We start from the raw sequence: 18,776 nt of genomic DNA, 5'->3' as shown, positions 1-18,776 counted from the left end.
CCCATAGGAACTCCATCCTGTTCACCACCATAATAATCTTCTCTCATCCATACATTTGTCTTGTCACCCCCCTACTGTGAACCCTAAATGTCCTCCTACTACTTAGCTAATGTTTAATGTCTCACTGATGTCTCTGGGAATGGCATTTTAGGTTGCTCAGTGTTTTCAAACCAGGGTCTGCGAGCTCTCCACGAGAATTTTTAAACTATCTTTGTTTCTCATTTAAAAGTTAATCATTTAAAAATTAATACAAGCATATTCTGAACCAAGTCCTGCCACTTAATTTTAATGCCTGGGTTTACTTTTGTGTTTCTATCAGGTTTGGCACCAATTGGTACAATGAATGAGAAAAGGGGAGAGATGGATATGCCGAGGTACATTCATGGCAAATGAAGATTCAATAACCTCACATCAGTGAGCATTAACATTGATTTCACAGGGGGTTGAACTCAGAAAGGTGGCAGCAATGCAGAGTCATCATGAAGTACCTAGCAGTAAAACTGTACTGCACTCAAAGAACCAACATCACTGCAGCCAGTACCCCATTGCATTACAAGCAGTGACTGCATTTCAGCAAAATAACAACATACATCATATTCAATTAGTGTGGTAAATTTGTATTTTTATTTGGGTTACTGAATTTTAAATCTCATCTGCAAAATCAATTTTAATGGCTATTTGGAATGCAAGGTGTCTATATATAGTTCTATGTTTGAACATACTTAAGTAACCTCATAATAAAAATAATTTAAATCCATTTTAGAGGTTCATCATTAATGCTTTGCATAGGCATCCACATTGCTGGAGTTTGAGAAGCCACGGCATAGTGTTTAAGAGTATATAGGATTTAGTGTCAAACAGACCTAGAATGAAATCTTGGGTAATTAATTTCTAGCTGGGTGGCAAAGCGCAAGTTTCCTCATCTGTAAAATGGAGAAATAACAGTAACTTGCTCATAGAGTTCTGATTAAGTAAAATAATGTATGCAGGGAGTCAAGAGCAGCTGGCAGGCAATAAGTGCAAAATAAGCATAAGCTGTAGCTATTATCTTCACTTTTCTTTTCTGATCTCTAAGTCACTGCCCAACATTCTAGAATCAAGAAAGTTTTGAAAGGAAATGGAAAGGAGAAGAAGGATTCAACCAAAAGAAAAATGGCACGGCTCACTCTTCTACTTTCGACCAAAGTAACCAGTGTTTAAGGTTGAGTGAGCATAACAAGGAGAAAGTCTCACTTTGATTTTCAGCAGCACTCTAACACTTGCTTAGCATGTTCTCCAAACAGCAAAGAGTAGACTTTTACCATGCATTTTCAATTTGCACTTATTTCTTTTAAAAATAGATTAATATAAATCTTTAAAAAGTAATTCGATTGTACTATCAAGTGCATAATAGTACAGGTGCTACAAAAACAAAAGGGTTAAAGCAAATGATGAAGATCTGGGAACAAGAGATGACTTCTTATCTCCCTGGACATTTCCTCCATCTAATTCCATGCAAAAGCAGTAGAAATCCACAAGAGGGCGATCCAGAAAAGTGAGTCCACAAGCAATTGCTCTGATTCTGAAAATAAATGCCTATGCATTTATATTTTCTTCCCTCTCCTCCCCAGCCACCCCCTTGACCTCCAGCTTTTCCAGGCAATAATATTTTTTTAAAAAAATCAAAATGACACTAGTGCTCACCTATGGTGATCTGGCTGACACAACTGTAGTAGCTGCCCGTCGTTGCAGAGGAAAGGTTATAACTTCCGCTGCTCACATCTTTGTCTGTTAAGAAAATAAAAGACAAGAAGGTTAATTATAACTTAGTAGACACCATGACCACAATGTAAATATATGACTGGTGGTAAATAAACCAGCTCTCCTTGTCTATGACACGGGTAGTCTCATACTCATTCAGTGGTTCACCCATCAACGTTTAGGGAGAGCCAGGTGCCAGACCCTGGGATGGGCACTTAGAACATATCAATAAACAACCCAGACAGCTACACACAGGCAATTGCAGTTTCATGTCATCATTATTACAATGGGAGAGTGAAGGGTGCTTGGGCAGTTGGGGGCAGGGAGTTAGACAGGAGAGAGGGTGCCTGACCCAGACTATAGACTAAAGAGTATCAGGTAAGGTTTCCTGGAGGAAATTTAACATCCTAATGAAAACCTAAAAGGTGAGTACTATCTGACTGGGCAAAAAGTGGATGAATTGAGGGAAACGATGCAGGCAGGGGAGCTATCATCCCCATCCTCCATCCTCTGGAGGCTGAGAGGCCACAGGCAGCTTCGTGGGTTAGCAGCTGAATGCAGTAAGAGAAGGAGAGATGAGCAGCAGCCAGGTTGCAAAGTGTCTTGTAAACCAAGTTAACAAGTTTGGCTTCTGCCTAGAAAGCAGGATCCTATTTTTGTTTTAGGAAGATCACTTTGTGGCAGTTTCCAGGATAGATTGGAGGACACTGAGATGAGAGTAGAAGGACTTATTTGCGAGGCTGCTGCAGTATTCTGACGAGAAATAGTGGTGGTCAAACCATGGGAGGAGTGGCAGTGGAGACAGAGAGGGGCAGATGCAATGCCCTCAAAAGCTAAAAGTGCAGCACAGGAATCAATTTCCTCATTACCGTGAACAGAAAATGTTCTAGGCAGAGGGGGGCAAAAGAAATCAAAGCCTCACAGGTGCATTGCATATCAGCATTTTCACCCACAACATTTCGTGCACGAGGTAGGTGCCACCCTTACATCTCTGATGGAAAGGCTGAGAATCCAGGTGGCTGAGTGCCGTGCCCAAGGTCACACTGACAGCATGTGGCAGAAGAGAGCTCAAATCTAGATCAGGAGTATTTGAAATTGTTTATGAAACATTGCAGGAACACAAAATTTAAAAACTCCTAGAAGATAACATAGGAAAAACATCTAGATGGCAGTGATGTTTTAGATATAACGCCAAAGACAAGATCCATGAAAAAAATAATGGATACACTGGATTAAAAACTGCTACTCTATGAAAGATAATACAAACAGAATGAGAAGACAGGGCACAAACTGGGAGAAAATATTTGTAAAACACATATCTGATAAAGGATTGTTATATAAAGTATACAAAGAACTCTTAAAACAACAATAAGAAAACAAATAAGCTGACTTAAAAAAATGGGCCAATCACTTTTACAGACACATCACCAAAGATGATACAGATGGCAGATACACACATGAAAAGATGCTCCACGTCAGACACCAGAGAAATGCAAATTAAAACAAACATAAAATACCACTACACATTTATTAGAATGGCCAAAATCTGGAACACTGACAAGACCAAATGCTGGCAACAGGACCTCTATTGCTGGTGAGAATACAAAATGGTACAGCCATTCTAGAAGAGAGTTTGGCAATTTATTACAAAACTAAACATACTCTTACCATACCATCCAGCAATCACACCCCTTGGTATTTGGTATTTACTGAAAGAAGCTGAAAACTTACGCCCATCCAAAAACCTACATACAGATGTTTATAGCAGCTTTATTCATAATTGCTATAACTTGGAAGTAACCAAGATGTCCTTCCGTAGAGGAATGGAAAATAAAACTGTGGCATATCCTAGCAGCTTTATTCATAGTTGCCATAACTTGGAAGCAACCAAGATGACCTTCCATAGAGGAATGGAAAATAAAACTGTGGTATATCCAGACAATGGAATATTATTCAACACTAAAATGAAATGAGCTATCAGGTCATGAAAAGACATGGAGGAACCTTAAATGCATAATACTAAGTTAAAGAAATGAATCTGAAAAGGCCAAATTCTTTATGATTCCAACTATGTGACATTCTGGAAAAGGCAAAACTATGGAGACAATAAAAAGATTAGTGGTTGCCAGGGGTCAGAGTGGAGGGAAGGAATAAACAGCAACACCACATAGGATTATTAGGGCAATGAAATTAGTCTGTATGATACTGCAATGGTGGATACAAGTCATTATTAAATTACCCAACAACCAAGAGTGAGCCCTAATATAAACTATGGATTTTGGGTGATTATGACGTGTTGATGTAGGTTTATCAATTGTAACAAATGCACCACTCCAGTGGGAGATATTGATAACAGGGGAGTATATGTGGGGACAGGAGGGTTTGGGAACTCTTCTGTAACTTCCTTTTAATTTTGTTATGAACCTAAAACTGCTGTAAAAAAATTAACATAGGGTATAAGTGATTTTAAAATATTACAATAAATACATTTTGTCTAATATAAACCACTACAGGTTACAAGAGTCATATTAAATAGTTGCAACACTGGTCTAAAGGCAACATTTGAACATTATGTGACAATAAGAAAATTCTGATCTATAATGGTGGAAAGTATAGGTCTGAGGGGAAGAAGTAATTATTAGGATTTAGTCAAATGCATCCAAAGAGAAAAGGTGCCTAGAAACGTATCAATTCAGACTTTAATGGGAACACAATGTGGATTGACAGAGAAGATGGCTTTGTAGGTGAATGTTCTTAGCAGGAAAGAACAGCAGGTACCTGGACAGAGAAGCCAGGAAATAGGAGTCATCTTTAAGGGGTTTTCTATAGGTGCCCTTGGTTTGAAAGCAGTTGGGAAGTATTGACAAAAGCAGGTGGCAAGCCAGAGGACAGAGAAACAGTGGTGGCTCTCAGAGGCCAGTGCACATTCACAAACAGAAAGGTAAATGCTAGGAAATATTTTTAAAACTATTTTTAATATGGGAAAACTAATTCTAGCAAGTGTATGTGGCCAACTCTTTCCCTAAGAAACATCTCCAAACCATCTCCAATCTCTAGAATGCTTCCTGAACAGCTAGCCACACCTCCAATAATAGCACTGGGCATGCAAGATTACACTGGTTTACACATCTCCTCAACCATGAGCTTGTCCAGGGAAGACCCACATGTTATCCAATTTGCAATTTCCAGAGTTTAGTGCTGTGGCTGGCATAAGGTAAATGCTCAATGAATGTTCGTTGGTTTTAAAAAAGGAAGGAACAAAATTAAAGAAGGAACAAACAAATAATTAATTCTCCTTCCTATTAATTTCAGAGAGGTTGCTGTGATCAAAGAGAAAGCACTGGGATGAGAGTCAGAAGACCTAAGTTGGAAGCCCAGCTTTGCTACACATAACCTCTTTGAACATGGCCAAGCTGTTTAATTTCCTTAAGTACTGATTCCTCCACCTGCAAATGGTAACAATAGTGCTTATCTCACTCTTGGGGGGCAGGGGAGGAGGTACGGTTTAAAAAAATAAATCAGCTACATGAAATCCATAGTTAGCAAATAATTCTGTATATATTTGTGGAATTTGCTGAATCAATAAAATTCAGACTTAAAACATATCAAACTAAGTACTCTAAAGTTGTCATTCCTCATTCTTTCTAAACCCTTCTCTAGGGCTCTATCCTGATCTATACTTATAAGATTTTGGAAGGAAGAAGACTTTCATAGGACAGGTCAATGGCACCAAAAAATGTATACAATCAGAGAGAGAGAGAGAGATTTATAAGCACAGAAATGACTATGAATGAGGAGGAGAAAAGGAATGAAGAAGAAAAAGCATAATGAGAAATCAGTAATCAACAAACAAGCAGAATGCTTGAATTAGGAAATGAATGCCTAGGAAGAGGCTATGAACAGCAAAACTATGGCAATTTGAATCAAGCCTGAATGGTAAAACCAGGGCAACAATTTTGGTGGCAGTATTTTGAAAAGACTCCAAGAGCAAAAGTACAAAGAGCCGTGGCAATTGCCAAGTGCAAAGTGATGACCTGAAGGAAGGTATTCTTACCTACTGGAATTAAAACAAAAAGGCTAGATTTTACAGAAGAGCCTGAATATCCATTTAATCCTTTAAGAACCACCTAGAGTTAAATGATAAAATCATGTAACTAGTGGGAAAACTTGAGACTATGAATGAGATTAATGAACATTGTGGGTTCTAGAGTCAGTATCCAGATTAAACAGTCTATTCCAACCCCTGGACACATTATTTCTTCTCTATGTGGCTTTGTTTCCTCATATGTAAAATGAGAATAATAAAGGCACCTATATTATAACATTATATGAGCATTCAATTATTTAATACATGAGAAAGTATTTATATAACAGGACCTACCACATAGAACGTGTTCAATTAGTGTTACCTTTTTTTTTTTTTTTTTTTTTTTTTTTTTTGAGACAGAGTTTTGCCCTTGCTTTTATTGCCCAGGCTGGAGTGCAATTGTGTGATCTCAGCTCACTGCAACCTCCAGCTATATTTTTATTTCATACTTATAAGAAACAGGATATCCATAAGATGGAATCCCACATAGCAAAGAAAATTAAAGTGAAGCTACACAAAATATTATGAATGAGTCTCACAAGCAAAATATGGAATGAAAGGAGCAAACTGAAAATAATATCTGTGAATCCACTTATAAAAATTTCAACAACAAACACAACTGAATTATATTGTTTATTACTGCATAATGGATGGTAAAACTATAAAGAAAAGCAACAAAATAATTAGCACAAAAGTCAGCGTGGTGGTTCCACTGACGGGGAAGAAGTGAGTTTGCGTTATGAAAGAGTATGGGGCAGGGGTGGGTTCGGGGATGCTGGAAGTGTTCTGTTTCTTAACCGAGGTGGTGGCTACATGGCATTCATTTTATAATTATATATTACATTACACATTTTTCTTCCTCACTTGTCTACATGTATATTATAGTTCACTATAACTTTTTTAAAGAAATAGAGAAGTGCGGAAATTATGGCAGGGCAAACCTAGAATACAAATTCTGTAAAAGTACCTAGGAAAAAGAAAAGGTGGTGGAATTAGACACCATCAGTTACTGAGCACTCACTCTTTGTCAGGCACTATGCTGAACATTTATTATTTCACTTATACCCATTATTTAAGCTTCAAAACAACTCTTTTAAGGTATAACTCTATTATGCAGATGAGGAATTAGGGGCTCAAAAAATTAAAGAACTTGCCCAGAGTCACACTCACAGGAAGTCACAAAGCTGGAATCAGAATCCAGGTTTGTCTTACACTAGAAAAGCAATTGAGAGCAGAGGCAAAGACAGGAGGACAGATTAATATCACAAGTTGGGTTAGGCAGGTTCCTCCTGTATCTGGTGTTACATCTTTGACAGTCAGTTATCTGATGTGCTAAGCATTGAGGCTCCATACAGAACAAGATCTACTGTTTTCAGAGGACTGCTTAGCGAAAAAGTGTGGACAAAACTACACACATTTTATTTATCTCAAATTATTTGGGGGCGTGTTCATAAACAACACAATCTTATAACAAAAGAAAATAAAGCCCATCTCAACAATTAAACTATCTTACCTTTCATCCTAACCGCCACGAAAAAGAAAACACAGTGCCTATTTATGTCTTTCCACTGAATGTGGAATTCTTGTAAATATGTGGGCAACTCTACTGTCAATATAAAATAATAATTTTAATGTCTAATATAGGAGGGTTTAAAAAAAGAATAAAAGTAAAATACTAAATAATAATAGAATACAAGCCAGGAGCTGGGTGCTCAAAGTATTGTTTGGAGGAGAGGTTAACATATTAAATTTAGAGTTAGTTAAACAAAATATAATGAATAGGTGTAGAATTTGTTAAGTAAGATTGAAGTAAAAGTACAAGGGCAATTATTAAAACAGCAGAAATAGACTACATTTCCAAACCAGTTAGTTGTGTTCAAAGGGGTAAGGATGGGGTAGGGTGGTGAGGAACAGTGGGAGAAGGAATATAACAAAAAAGTTCAACTTTGATAAAGGAAATAAATGAGGGGGAAAGTCATAGGAAAAATACAGAGAAAGAACAAAGTAAAATGGTTAAAAATAAGTTCAAATATAGTAGTAATAACAATACATGTTAATGGTCTAAATTTGCTATTTAAGAGACTATGAGATGGATTTCTAAAAACAACAACCAAAAAAAACTAAATGCTGTTTGTAAGAGAAACATCTAAAACCTAAGGACACAAATGTTGAAAGTAAAATATTTATAAAGATGCAGCAAGCAGATACTAACCAAAATAAAGCCAGGGTACCTATATTACTTTTAGGAAAAAGGCTTTAAGACAAAAAGCATTATTAAGGATAAAGGTGGTGAGTAATAATGATGAAAGGTTCAGGGTTCAATTATCCAAGAAGGTATAAACAAATGTTAAATCTATATGGCCAGAATAAAATAATCTGAAACCTATGAAGCAAAAATTAACAGAACTACAGGGAATAACAGACAAACCTACCATGAGAAGAATGATTTTAACATACTTAATAACTGATTGCTTGGGCAAGAAAAATTTTAGTAAAAACACTGAAAATTTGAACAGTACAATTAATCTCAATTTAATGGACAGTTACTGAATGCTTCATCTGACAGTCAGGGAATATATATTCTTCTTAAGCCCATGGTGAAGTATTATAAAACTTGACCATACTTTAGACCATAAAGCAAATCTCAACAATTAAAAAATAAATCAATATCATTACAGGCCATGTTTTTCAACCCTAATCTGTGATGATAAAAATCAGAGTAGAAGTCCTTTTTAGGGAATGGGCGGGGGGGGTCCCGGGGCAACTATTAAATATTATTATCTGCACTTTTCTGTGTGTGTGTGTGTGTATAAATTACCAATTTTTTTCAAAGTTTTTTTAATGTTGCACTACTGGCCAAACAAAACAGAGAATATAAGCATATTTCTATCAAGCAAAACACAACCAAAAATGTCTAAATTAAAAGAACAGAATTCCAAGTCTAGTTCCTTTAACCAGGGCCACTTTATACAGTTCACATGCATAAGTCATGGTAGCATTCACTATATAAGCACCAACTACTGTTCTCTACCACCCTGCTCCTCCGAGTGCAGTCTCTTGAACAGCAGCAGCTGCACCACCTGAGAGTCCATTAGAAATGCAGAATTCCAGGCTCCCCCGAAGCTACTAAATCAGTATTTTCATTTTCACAAGATATCCAAATGATTTGCAGTCTCATTAAACTGAGCAGCACTGATCTACAGCTTAACTTTAAGGCCCATAAGCAAAACTCTCAAGGCCTTAGGAATCAACCAAAGACTTTTTAAGGACCTGTATGATCTGCCCTGCGCTAGGAATGGGAGAATTACAAGTGTAATCAGGAAGGGAGAAACACAAGAAATAGATTAGTTCAGAATATTCATAGACTGAGGCTGAGAAGAGAAATGGCATGCATCGTGTGATTCAAAGAGCTTCTTTTTAAGAAAGACCTGCCCCAAGGCAGAAGGGCCTTAAAAATAAAAAGAAAGGACTTTTTTTTTTACTGAAGTTTAACACAGATACAATAAAATGCCCAAATCCCAAGTGCACAACTCAGTGAAAATTATCACAAAATGAACACATCACGTAACTACCATGAGGAGAAGTCCATCTCCAAGTAATTTCAGGTGAGAGGACATTACTTGAGAGAATTACCTGACAATCATAATAGGAAATGCTGAGTGGCTTTCACATCACGAGGTAAATGGCAAGTTAGACTGGCAGCCAAACCCAGGCTGGGTTCTGAGGGGTGACCGCTCAGATTGCTAGAAATACAAGAATGATGGGCTCCTTCCCTTTCTTTTCTATTGAGGTAATGGCACCTGGAGGGTTAAGTCATTTGCTCTTCATCACACAACTAGAAAGTGGGAGAACCAGAACTGATATCCTGACATGAGTCTAGCCCAAGAAGTAAGTAGCATTTACTGAAGCAATTGTTTTAAGTTATTCATCTTCATGTCATCCGTTTCACTCTGATTTGGGGAAATTTCACTAATTCTTATAATTGCTTGATTATTGTTTATAAACTATGAAGCTCCAAAGTCCTTATTTTAGGCATAGGCCAGGTTGACAGTTAAGATAGCAATTTCCGGCCGGGTGTGGTGGCTCATGCCTATAATCCCAGCACTTTGGGAGGCCGAGGCGGGTGGATCACAAGGTCAGGAGATTGAGACCATCCTGGCTAACATGGTGAAACCCCGTCTCTACCAAAAATACAAAAAATTAGCCGGGCGTGGTGGTGGGCGCCTGTAGTCCCAGCTACTCGGGAGGCTGAGGCAGGAGAATGGCGTGAACCCGGAAGGCGGAGCTTGCAGTGAGCAGAGATCGCGCCACTGCACTCCAGCCTGGGTGACAGAGTGAGACTCCGTCTCAAAAAAAAAAAAAAAAAAAAAGATACCAATTTCCCTGACAAAGACACAGGGACTAGAAGCTGAGGTAAAGCCTTCTCCTGGAATCCACAATCCACAAAGGCTGAGCAAACAAACATCTCACTCACAAGAAAGTAAGGAGAAATTTTACAAAGAAAAGGTTTTCATTAAACCTTTCAAAACATATTACAAGCCTGCTTATATACAGGGACAGATGAAAGCCAAGAACTTACCAAACAGAAGAATGATGCATAACTACTGACTTTGCAAAAATATTCACCATCTGATTCCTTTAATAACTACCTACACTGGCGCACTAGAAATACCATTTAATTTACAAAATATATGTTTATTGTATAGAGTGAGTTATAACTACTTACTGCATCTGATTTTTTAAAAAGCAATCTAAATTGTTTATAAAAGGTTCTAAAGAACCGACTAGTAAGAAAAAAATGTAGTTCACTTGTGTATGTACATGTATACATGTGGGTATTCCTCAGAAATATCAATGTGTTGATTTAGTCCATGTTTGCTGTGTAAGTTAATATTCAAGACCTATTCTTTCCTCCTAGCTGGGTAATCTCTATCTCCTCACCTAACCTCCCTGGGCCTGGACTTTCTTTTTGTTGTGACTGAAATTCATCCATTCAAAAAACATATAGTAGACACAGGCTGGTCCTAGGTAGAAAGTGGTGGCTTGGGAGGTCTCTCCCTAAGGTGCTGAAAAATCAATCAGAGGATATAAAGTGTGTTTCCACTGGGAAGAGCTTTTCCTATGCAAACAGATCTCTTTGTTACTATCATAAAACAAAGACAGTATTGCTGTTTTCATAACGTTTTTTCATTTATTATGTGCCACTTCACTAGAAGACAGGCAGGAGAGATACTAGTTGAAGTAGTAATAGTTCTAGTAGTATTCTCCTCTGCAACCTGCATCAGACCTGAGTGAGACCCAGACTCCCAGAGGGCAAAGCCATCTTTTACTCATCTTGCATCCTCAAACCCTGTCTCAGCCTAATGCATAGAAGGCACAAGAAATGTTTGCCAAAGCCTCCCGTAAGCTTTCAAATACTTGAATCACCTTTCCTGCATTTTAAATACTGTGTCTGGTGCTCATTATCCCGGCGTCCCTTTGATTCCACTTCTAGCAGCAGGCACTGTGACAAAAGCCCTTTCATGAACCCTAATTAGAGAAAAGCCTTTCCTTTCCTACTTACACCTACTTGATTCACTGTTGAAAATCTTATATTCTGTTTTCATTATCTTCAGGAGGTAAAGATTCATGCCTTATTATTACATCATAAGATCCATGAAACAGGCAAGGTTTTTTTGTTTTTTTGTTTTTTGTTTGTTTTTGTTTTGCTTCCTGAACCTACAACAGTGCCTGACACACAGTAAGCACTCACAAAGCCTATTTTAAATTGTTTGTTCTAGAAACTTCCTTGGGAGCTGTGGACTGTGTGTCTAGGACTACATTCTAGTAGAAAAATCCACATTGTTACTTATTGTGAGCTGAATGTGTCCTCCCAAAATTCATATGTTAAGGCCCTCACTAACCCCCAGTGTGATAGTATTTGGGGATGGGGCATTTGGGACATAATTGGGTTTAGATTTTAGATTTTTAAAAGCACTCTAAATTGTTTATAAAAGGTTCTAGAGAACTGACTAGTAAGAAAAAAATGTAGTTTACTTGTGTAAACTTGTGTATGTACATGTATACATGAGTGTGTTCCTCAGAAATATCAATGTGTTGATTTAGTCCACGTTTCCCGTGTATTTTATAGGTTTACGAAAAAAGTTAATATTCAAGACCTATTCTTTCCTCCTAGCTGGGTAATCTCTATCTCTTCTATCTTCTTGTTCATGAGGATGGGCCCCCGGTGATGGGATTAGTTCCCTTATAAGAGACAGAGATCCCACTCTGTCCCTGAGCACACACCAAGGAAAGGCCACGTGAGCATCCAGCAAGAAGATGACTATCTACAAGCCAGGAAACAGGCCCTCACCATACATTAAATCTGCCACCACCTCCAACAGGGACTTCCAGCCTCCAGAACTATGAGAAATAAATGTCTGTTGTTTAAGCCACCCAGACTTTGGCATTTTGTTATATAGCAGCCCAGAGCAGACTATGACACTGTTACAAAAAAACATAACGTTTTAAAGGAAAGAATTAAAATGCTGCTTCTCAGAATCAAAAAAATTTTTTAATTTAATTTTACCCCACAAAGAAATTTACAAAATATGAAGGGCTGAAGGTCAAAAAATAATCTGTACATGCTTTGCTGCAGCTTCTTAATCAAAAGGATCCTAATCGATGTTGACCATGAGTGTCTTGCTTGCATAATAACAAGCATGTCAGGTGGTGTAGGGAAAAAACAAGAGAAGTCATTAAAGAGCTCCTTGGATTTATCTAGTAGGTAAAGCATAAGTCCCAGCCAGCTAGCATGTACCTGATCTCACCATGTAGTCTGGATGCTTTTATTCTTTTGCTTGTTTGTCTTTTCTGAAGGGTAAAAGTTATTATGCTTATTATTTGCAATAGGAAAAAGGAGTTTTTAAAACTTCCACATGGTGTACTGCCCCCTACTATACTCCATTCACTCCCTCAGTCACACACCCAAGTACTGGTCACCTACTATGTGCCAGGCACTGTGCGAGGCACAAGGAACACAAAGATAAAATAGCTGGTCCTTGTCATCTGAGTTTTACAACCCACAGAGGGGATTACTCACCGCAGTACAAAATTAGAACCTGCTATGGAAAGGGCTTACCCTAAGAAGTCCCAGAGGAAGCACCAAGTCAGACAGAGAATGTCAAGGGGAAAAGAGAGGGGGCCTTGTAAAGAAGGAGGGAGTCGTTCAGAGCATGCATCAAGGTCCAGAAACCTGAGAAGGCCTCAAACAACCTCCCGCCCAGAGGGTGGGATGCTAGGGTCAAAGGCAACAAGAGAGAAGGGCAGGAAGTTCAATTTTTAGCCCTACACAGAGAAGAGCCACTGGAGAATTTTAAACAAGGAACAACAGGATCAGATTTGCAAGTGTAATTCAAAGAAGCCAGGACTAGAAGCAGAGGAACCAGTTGGGAGGCCACTGTTGCAGCCAAAGTGGGCAATGATGGTGGCCTGGACTAGCATAAGAACAGAGGGCAGGGCAAGGAGAAAGCAAAGTTGAAAGATGTTAAGGAAAAAGGACCAACAGGACTTGGTGATTGAGAGTATACTGGCTAGGAGCAGGAGTTGATAATAATACCTAATGCTTACTGAGCACTACATACTGCTCCTGCGCACTTGACAGTACTATTGCATTTTAACTTCTTAGTGACCTCATTTTACAGATGAGAAAACTGAGACACAGAAGGTGAATTAATTTGCTCAAGGTCAGGCCAGGCGTGGTGGCTCACACCTGTAATTCCAGCAGGGATTTGAGAGGCCAAGGCAGGAGGATCACCTAGGAAAGACCAGCCTAGGAAACATATCAAGACCCTGCCTCTACTTAAAAAAAAAAAAAAAAAAATTAAAAGTTAGCCTGGCATGGTGACCCACACCTGTGGTCACAGCTACTATGGAGGCTGATGAAGGAAGACTGCTTGAGCCAGGGAGGTAGAGGCTGCAATGAGCCAGGATCATGCCACTGCAATCCAGCCTGGGCAACAGAGTGAGACATTGTCTCAAACAAACAAACAAAAATTTACTCAAGGTCACTGTTAGTATGTGCTGGTAAGGGAGGACTCCACAATGACTTCCAGGATTCCAGGGTGACTGGGTAGAGCATGCTGGCCCCTTTCAACCTCTAGCCACTCTGTTTCAGATGTCATGTTCCACCTACCAGCACCATGCTACTAGTGGCTGCCTTCACACCCCTGACATTTCTCCCCTTCATCTTCATTCATGTTGCTGTTGCTCCCTGGAATGACCTCCTTCTCCCAGTTGGCCTTCTCCCAATCTCCTCCTCCAGGAAACTGTTTTGGCCCATCCCTTACCCTACCCAGCCCTTCCCTACAACACTGCATTATAATTCTCCATTTAGGAGTCTGTCTCCTCCAGCTGACTCTGCCATCTGTCACAGAAACAGCGGGAGATCTTATTCGTTCTAGTAACCCTGGGTTAAGGCTAGAGCCTGGAACATAGTTAGAGCTCAGTAGTTGGAGATACTCTATAGAAAACAGGGACAGGAGAGGAAGATGGGGGTTGTTTTGGACACATTGAGTTTGTGATGCTAACACAAAGAGAGAAGAGCATACAGATAGTCTGGCAGCTAACTATACAAGCATAGCACATGCAAGAAAGAAGTTCTAACTGGTGATTTCTATGTGGGAGTCACCTGAATAAAGATGAAGTCATGGGAGGGGAAATGATGTCCTAGGCTCTCATGTCTTCTCACCCCATTTGATTCCCACATTCCACAGTTAGGCTTAGCTCTCATTACACTCCCTAAATAAGTTCCTTAACCTATCTGTGCCTCAACTTCTTCAAATGAATATAGGGCTGACTTTGGATCAATGTCTTAAAAGTTGCTGTGAAGATTAACTGAGCTAATTCACATAAAGTGCCATTATTATTATCTTCATGCCCAGGCACACCCCACACTTCTACTTACAACTCTGAAAACTTTCTTGCTCCAGTTTACAGGTCTCCCACTACGAGACTGACTCTGCACATGGGGTCATTGTTTAGCATCTGGGAGGTATCTAACCAATGTCATCCAAATGGTTGAGAGTCAAATTATTTAAAAGTTTGAGAGAACCCAGGCAAACATCAGCATTAGCAGAAGGAGTCCACACACAAAAAATCAAGAGGTAGGAGGAAAATGAGGGGAGAGGAGTTATATAACAACACCGGCTCAGACTGCACTGTCTTCCTGTCTTCTGCTTGCTCTCTCTGCTCTAGCCACAATGACCTTCTAGCTAGCCTTGAACATGACAAGCTCATTCCTGACTCAGGGCCTTTGCACTTACTGTTCACATTGCCAAGAATCCTCTTTCCCCATGTAATGGAATGCCTCATTCCTTTTCTTCATTTAGTTCTCTGCTTAAGTTTCTCCTCAGAGAGGGCTTCCCTATATGAAACAGCCATCACTGTGCTCTATCAGCTCTTTCAGCTCCTTATTAAGCCTCATCACGGCTGACAGGTCCAGGCCAGGTCTGTGAGTCTAACCACAACGCCCTTCCTGGTTCAGGTGGGGACACAGCCTCTGTGCCTTCCTTTGCATGGCCAAGAACAATTAAAGTCCCAGTCATTTCTCTCTAAAAAATACTTGTCTCCCATCCTTAGTCTCATGCGCATGGTTATTTAATGAGTTAAAGTGGTTAAGAACCTAAACCATTTAAAGGACAAGAAAATAAATGTCAGTGGTGAGTATAAAGGGTTGAGGCCTTAAAAACCCAGAATTCTAAAAATAACATCATTCATTGAACATATTTTTACCGGTGGGGATTACAGTTACTGATTACCCTAATCTCATTTCTCATTTCTAGAATGTGAGTCTAGATGGTGGCCTGAAAGTAAAAATTCATACTAAAATGCGGAAAGAGCAAGCTCAAAAGACAAAAAGAGCAGGATCAAAATGCAGAAAGAACGGGATCAGAAATGCATATTAGAAGGGAAGCTAATGAGGATTACTAGAGGCTGCTGCTAATGAAATGCCTACATAAGCCAAATTTCTCTCTCATCTTGTGAACCTAAAACACATGGTCTACAGTGTAACTGTTCATTCTCTTGGCAGCCCCTGTGCTAAAGATAAGAATAAAGCATTTATTAAATCAGTCAATTAAACACAAAAATTGAACCCTATAAATTCCAGGCAAAAAGTTTAGATCATCCCCCATCATGATGCCTAAACCCAAATCCAACAGAATTGACAGGGGACATTTTTTACAAGGAATTCAATTGTCAAAGAGAAGATTTGCGGAGGGTTCCAGGGCTGGACCAAGCTCTCATCAGATAATGATCTCAATAGTATCCAGTGGGTGAAGAATGTATTAAATGTGCTCAATGTTTTTCTCCTTAACTTGTTCACTAGGTTGAAAACCCTGATGGACTAATTTATTCTGTCATGGTTTAGCTCACACTGCTACAGATCTAAGAATTAACGTGGAATTTGTGGCCAAGTATATGCATCATTTTAGGGATGGATGCAGGAGGAGAATGTGTCAAGCAGAAATTCTAATTGATATTTTTATTGAAATATGCTTCAGTTCTCTTTAAGGGTCTAATGAGAAACCTGTGTAATTCTTAATCACCAAAAACAAAGATCTGCCACCTTTTTCCTTTAATTACTGAAATATACTTCTTTTCAAAATGATTTCACTTATTCTGACTTCATTTTCTCCACCTGGGTGCTCAATTAAGCTTTTAAAGCTTCTAGAAACGTACAGAACTGATCATTACGTAAACCTATTACTGACAGTATCCATGGGGCAGCATACAAAATCTAAAATGATGTAAAAAAACAGAAGTTAGATCCCTCTGATAGGAAAAGGTGTAAAAATAGATGTTTTGCCAATGAATATGCCTAAAATGCCATCAGCATATTGAATTATCCCCAGATGGTAACCCAGGAACCACAATGTTGAGTGTTAAATGTGCGTGCAGGTAAGAACAACTTAAATCCCAGCAAAAATGTTCTGAGCACGGGGGAAGGGGGTTGGAGGAAAGAAAAAACAGGCCACCAGACTGAAATTTGTAATCTGCTCACAATTTGTTACTGGTTCCCAGGCATCAATTGCAAACCCTCTGAGCCACCTAAATGATCATTTTAAACAATTTAAATCCAGAGAAAGAGACTGACCCTGTTAACCTTGGTAAAATGAGCAGGGGACATCACTGGCCTAGAGAATGAAGATTCCACACCAAAGAATAGTAATTTCCGTCCCACCCATCCCAGGCTTTGAGATGTCCCTGCAGAACATTCCCCATCAATTGCTCACAGCTTTCCCCTTTAAAATGCCAAATCTAGATCTTATCGCAACAACTGACTGCAAGCAAGAGGAAGGGAGGGAGGTCTACTTGAGTTTCTGCTTCCTATAACCAAGTCTCAGCAGTATTTCTGATAAAGGGCTAAAGAGAATTGCTTTATCCACACAAGCAAGAACGTTGATAAGAAGCCTTGCTGGCTTCCCCAGCGCGCTAGGATTTCTAGCTGAGCCTGAAACCTTCACACAGTGATTTTGTTTTCCTTCAGAACCATGCAATACCACACATGTATATATGTATATGTCTATTCATATATATTTATTTAACAAAACAATGGGCAGGGGAACGATGAATGCCTTCCTTTTTCATAAACTTTTATTTCCAAACTGATTTCTTTTTTTGCATTAAAAACATGTTACAGTGCATATTATTTTAACTCCACAGCATCTGTCAGAGAGATGTTCTCATCTCTCTGATTTACAGACGGAGAAATGCAGAGGCTGAAAAGTTTAAATAACTTGCCCAAGGTCAGTCAGGGACAAGATAAGCGCTGGCTGAACGCACATCTCCCAACTCCAAGCCTCACCCCGCTAGAGGAGGACTTAACACCCGCGTCCCTTCCCCTGAGTGGTCGGAAGCGAGGGGAATGTTTCTAGAGTCCCGAAGCTCCCAGATCCTCCCAAATTTTGAAGCGTTTTTCCCGCAGACACCCGGTTCCCGGGTTACCCGCGGCCCGAAACCCCGCGGAACATCGGCCCCTCAGGAGCGGCGCGCACGGCCGCCGTCTCCCTCCCTTCCAGACCCCTCCGCAGAGGCGAACCCCGAAGTTTCCCCGGGTGTTTCGACGGCTCCCTGGGCCCCTCCCTTCCGCCCCGCCGCCCCAGGAACCCGCGACGGCCCCAGTTACCGTATGCGGTGAGGGAGGCCATCCTGGCCCGCGTCCTGCCCAGACTGGCCAGGGCGTCGGCTAGAGCGGCCCCCTGCGCGCTGCGCCCCTGGACGGCCCGGCCCGGCGAGTGCATGCGCTTGGCTCTAGCGGCGCCCGGGCGCTCCGCGGCTGAGCACGCCCAGTCAGCGCGCCGCGCTCGCCCCTAGAGCTGCCGGCGCGCGGGGGCCCCCGGCCGGGCTGCGCCGCGAGAGCGGCAGGAGAGAGGGCGTAGACCGGCAGCCGCGCTCCGGGTCCCCGCGGGGATTGAACCAGCCGCGGAGGACGCGCGGCCGGGAGAGGGGAGGGGCGAAGCTGGAGGTGGGAGGTGCCCGGCAGAGGCGCGCCGCGGATTTGGCCCAGCGCAGCCGGCGTCGGGCGGGATCCCCGGTGGGTTCACGCCAAAAGGGGTGGCAGGGATGTCGTGGCAAGGGTCGGGGAGTCCCAGGCGCGCCACAGCCTCTCGGGACGGTCTCCTTTCCTAGGGAAGCTCCACTGGAGAGCGCGCCGGGGAACACATGGGGTGGGTCTGGCCGCCCGTGACTCTGGGCGCGATTCCCAGCCCAGGGGACAGTCTGGAGAAGGCTTTGCCTGTGAGACCAAAGCACAGGGGAGAGTAGCAACCTTCTCCTGCGCACTTCTATTAGTGAAGTCGGTGACTACTAAGTACCGAACTCTGACCCCAACAGTTCAGACCTGTCCCAGTACATCATCTTATCATCTCTGTTTGTGTTTCTGTCTTACCACGAGGCGCTCACCGGTGTC

At 40.8% G+C, this 18,776-nt stretch overlaps 1 protein-coding gene across 11 annotated transcripts in view; it reads right to left on the bottom strand.

The window, feature by feature from the left end:
- Nucleotides 1–18,280, bottom strand: part of ANO4 (anoctamin 4) — a 411,381-nt gene extending 393,101 nt beyond the window's left edge. For all 11 annotated transcript variants that reach the window (XM_011537912.3, XM_011537911.3, XM_047428302.1 and 8 more), the window contains exons 1-2: nt 17,994–18,280; nt 1,684–1,767 (exon numbers count right to left, since the gene is read on the bottom strand). In XM_011537912.3, coding sequence (XP_011536214.2) covers nt 1,684–1,767; nt 17,994–18,108 — 199 coding nt within the window. In that variant the 5' untranslated portion in view covers nt 18,109–18,280. The remainder of the gene's footprint in view (nt 1–1,683; nt 1,768–17,993) is intronic.
- Nucleotides 18,281–18,776: the final 496 nt, after the last annotated feature.

This window comes from Homo sapiens, chromosome 12, assembly GCF_000001405.40.
Source record: "Homo sapiens chromosome 12, GRCh38.p14 Primary Assembly".
NCBI classification, from domain to species: Eukaryota; Metazoa; Chordata; class Mammalia; order Primates; family Hominidae; genus Homo; species Homo sapiens.
The sequence above is the reverse complement of the archived record's forward strand: the minus strand, read 5'-3'. Positions and strand labels throughout refer to the sequence as shown.